The sequence below is a fragment of the Homo sapiens genome, chromosome 11 (genome assembly GCF_000001405.40).
Source record: "Homo sapiens chromosome 11, GRCh38.p14 Primary Assembly".
Lineage (NCBI taxonomy): Eukaryota > Metazoa > Chordata > Mammalia > Primates > Hominidae > Homo > Homo sapiens.
The window spans coordinates 97044047-97048175 of record NC_000011.10 but is presented as its reverse complement, the minus strand read 5'-3'; the positions used below and the strand labels follow the sequence as shown (position 1 = coordinate 97048175).

At 41.4% G+C, this 4129-nt stretch overlaps 1 annotated feature.

The window, feature by feature from the left end:
* Positions 2344-2845: an enhancer, noted in NCBI's record as "NANOG-H3K4me1 hESC enhancer chr11:96916331-96916832 (GRCh37/hg19 assembly coordinates)". NCBI's record gives its function as "activates a minimal SCP1, AML or CMV promoter by ChIP-STARR-seq in primed H9 embryonic stem cells {active_cell/tissue: H9 hESC(primed)}" and the evidence as "EXISTENCE:reporter gene assay evidence [ECO:0000049][PMID:30033119]".

Sequence of the window (4129 nt, the reverse complement as noted above, 5' to 3'; positions counted from 1 at the left end):
TGAGACCCTGGCTCAAGAAAAAAAAAAAAAAAGAAAAAAGAGGAGGGTGATGGAGAAAGAGAAAGAAAAGAAAATATAGAGCCAGGCACAGTGGCTCATGCCTGTAATCCCAGTACTTTGGGATGCCGAGGTGGGTGGATTGCTTGAGGTCAGAAGTTTGAGACCAGACTGACCAACATGCTGAAACCTCATCTCTACTAAAAACATAAAAATTAGCCACGTGTGGTGGCAGGCATCTGTAATCCCAGCCACTCAGGAGGCTGAGTCTGGAGAATTGCTTGAACTTGGGAGGCAGAGGTTACAGTGAGCTGAGATCGCTCCACTGCACTCCAGCCTGGGTGACAAAGCAAGACTCTGTCTAAAAATTAGAGGAAAAGAAAAGAAAATATATATACATTTGCTTATCTTTCCAAAAAGAAATATAGAAAAGATAAACCGAAAAACAATGAAATTTATTATATGCAAGGGTGCAGGAGAAAACAGTGGAATGGATATGGAAAGGAAAGACGTTTATCTGAATATACCTTTTTTGCATGATCATGAGAATCTTTTTGAAATTATTGTACATTAAAAATATTAAGTCTACAAATTCATCTAATTCAAAGAATTCTTTTCAAAGAAGTATCATAAACACACTGAAGAAAAAAAGGAAAAAAATTGAACTCAAGTAATTTATAAGGGCATTCTTTGGCTGGGTGATTGTTATCAATCTTGGGCAGTATGGGTTAGTGAAGGGAGGGGACTACTACAAACAAACCCTGGGCCATTCTTAGAACATTTTATTTTTTAGTCATATGAGCAAAGCAATTTTGAAATCATTTCAGATATATTATAGAATTGAGAAAATAAGTAAATGTATTGATGTTGGGAGCCAGAGTTGAAGGAGGGAGATAAAAATATAAAATAGGGGAAGAAAGAACCTTGTGGAAAGGAATTAAATTTAGAGATACTGGTGTAAGCTTATGGTTTCAAATGTATGCATTTGAGTGTGTATTTACATGTACATATGTGTATATATGTACACATACATATATATGCATACATATGTGTATAGATGTAGATATAGATATATAAATATATGGTCATACACATGTATGCATGTATTCCCTATCTCTGACCACTATAAACAGAAATATTCATTAACAATACACATATCTAGCAACTCAGAGATCATGATTTTTTAAATCATATTCCCCACTTAAAGGAAAAACATTTTCAGGGCTACTATGTCATAATTAAGAAGCTCTCAAAAAAAATGATGAGGACATGTGACAGGGATACAAGTACTAGCTTAAAGGGGATCCACTGTTTAGATCTGGAAAACTCTGAACACCAAGATTATTAAGTGTAATAATTAAAAACAATTGAAAAAATAGAAATCTATGCACCCAAACCAATCATTAACAGTTAAATATGTATGTACATACATACACAAATACATAAATAAACTTGTAAATGGGAGGTGGTTAAGTTCCAGCTAATAAATGTGATGCACATGCCATAATGGGAAAATTATCCTTTTGCAAACATATAGTAAAATTTTGTTAATTTAAGAATCATCAATGGATGATAAGCTTTGGGGGAAATTTCAGTGAGCCAGTGAGCACAGAATATTTTCATGCCTTAAAAGTGTTTCTCACAAATTGCTTATTATTTGCAAGGGAAAATGTACTACATTATACAGTAGAGAAATGAGACATCCCCTTGTCGGGGTATTGAAAACTGATATAACCAGTGAAACAAATGAATGCCATGTGCCCCCAAATGTGATTTTCTGAGAAGTGCACGACTTCACCTAAGTATTATTCCAGCAAGAAATAAATAATGTGAATCTAATGATGAGGAAACATCAAGAAAGCTCAGGTTGAGGAATCATTTATGGAATACAAGTAGTAGGAAGATGGCCGAATAGGAACAGCTCCGGTCTACAGCTCCCAGCGTGAGTGGCGCAGAAGACAGGTGATTTCTGCATTTCCATCTGAGGTACCGGGTTCATCTCACTAGGGAGTGCCAGACAGTGGGTGCAGGACAGTGGGTGCAGCGCACCATGTGCGAGCCAAAGCAGGGCAAGGCATTGCCTCACTCCGGAAGTGCAAGGGGTCAGGGAGTTCCCTTTCCTAGTCAAAGAAAGGGGTGACAGACGGCACCTGGAAAATCGGGTCACTCCCACCCTAATACTGCGCTTTTCTGACGGGCTTAAAAAACGGCGCACCAGGAGATTATATCCCGCACTTGGCTCAGAGGGTCCTACGCCCACGGAGTCTCACTGATTGCTAGCACAGCAGTCTGAGATCAAACTGCAAGGTGGCAGCGTGGCTGGGGGAGGAGCGCCCGCCATTGCCCAGGCTTGCTTAGGTAAACAAAGCAGCCGGGAAGCTTGAACTGGGTGGAGCGCACCACAGCTCAAGGAGGCCTGCCTGCCTCTGTAGGCTCCACCTCTGGGGGCAGGGCACAGACAAACAAAAAGACAGCAGGAACCTCTGCAGACTTAAATGTCCCTGTCTGACAGCTTTGAAGAGAGCAGTGGTTCTCCCAGCACACAGCTGGAGATCTGAGAATGGGCAGACGGCCTCCTCAAGTGGGTCCCTGACCCCTGACCCCCAAGCAGCCTAACTGGGAGGCACCCCCCAGTAGGGGCACACTGACACCTCACACGGTCTGGTACTCCTCTGAGACAAAACTTTCAGAGGCACGATCAGACAGCAGCATTCGCGGTTCACGAAAATCCGCTGTTCTGCAGCCATCGCTGCTGTTACCCAGGCAAACAGGGTCTGGAGTGGACCTCTAGCAAACTCCAACAGACCTGCAGCTGAAGGTCCTGTCTGTTAGAAGGAAAACTAACAAACAGAAAGGACATCCACACCAAAAACCCATCTGTACATCACCATCATCAAAGACCAAAAGTAGATAAAACCACAAAGATGGGGAAAAAACAGAGCAGAAAAACTGGAAACTCTAAAAAGCAGAGCGCCTCTCCTCCTCCAAAGGAACGCAGTTCCTCACCAGCAATGGAACAAAGCTGGATGGAGAATGACTTTGACGAGTTGAGAGAAGAAGGCGTCAGATGATCAAACTACTCCAAGCTACAGGAGGAAATTCAAACCAAAGGCAAAGAAGTTAAAAACTTTGAAAAAAATTTGGATGAATGTATAACTAGAATAACCAATACAGAGAAGTGCTTAAAGGAGCTGATGGAGCTGAAAGCCAAGGCTCGAGAACTACATGAAGAATGCAGAAGCCTCAGGAGCCGATGCAATCAACTGGAAGAAAGGGTATCAGTGATGGAAGACGAAATGAATGAAACGAAGTGAGAAAGGAAGTTTAGAGAAAAAAAGAATAAAAAGAAATGAACAAAGCCCCCAAGAAATATAGGACTATGTGAAAAGACCAAATCTACGTCTGATTGGTGTACCTGAAAGTGACGGGGAGAATGGAACCAAGTTGGAAAACACTCTGCAGGATATTATCCAGGAGAACTTCCCCAATCTAGCAAGGCAGGCCAATGTTCAGATTCAGGAAATACAGAGAACGCCACAAAGATACTCCTCGAGAAGAGCAACTCCAAGACACATAATTGTCAGATTCACCAAAGTTGAAATGAAGGAAAAAATGTTAAGGGCAGCCAGAGAGAAAGGTCGGGTTACCCTCAAAGGGAAGCCCATCAGACTACCAGCAGATCTCTTGGCAGAAACTCTACAAGCCAGAAGAGAGTGGGGGCCAATATTCAACATTCTTAAAGAAAAGAATTTTCAACCCAGAATTTCATATCCAGCCAAACTAAGCTTCATAAGTGAAGGAGAAATAAAATACTTTACAGACAAGCAAATGCTGAGAGATTTTGTCACCACCAGGCCTGCCCTAAAAGAGCTCCTGAAGGAAGCGTTAAACATGGAAAGGAACAACTGGTACCAGCCACTGCAAAATCATGCCAAACTGTAAAGATCATCGAGGCTAGGAAGAAACTGCATCAACTAACGAGCAAAATAACCAGCTAACATCATAATGACAGGATCAAATTCACACATAACAATATTAACTTTAAATGTAAATGGACTAAATGCTCCAATTAAAAGACACAGACTGGCAAATTGGATAAAGAGTCAAGACCCATCAGTGTGCTGTATTCAGG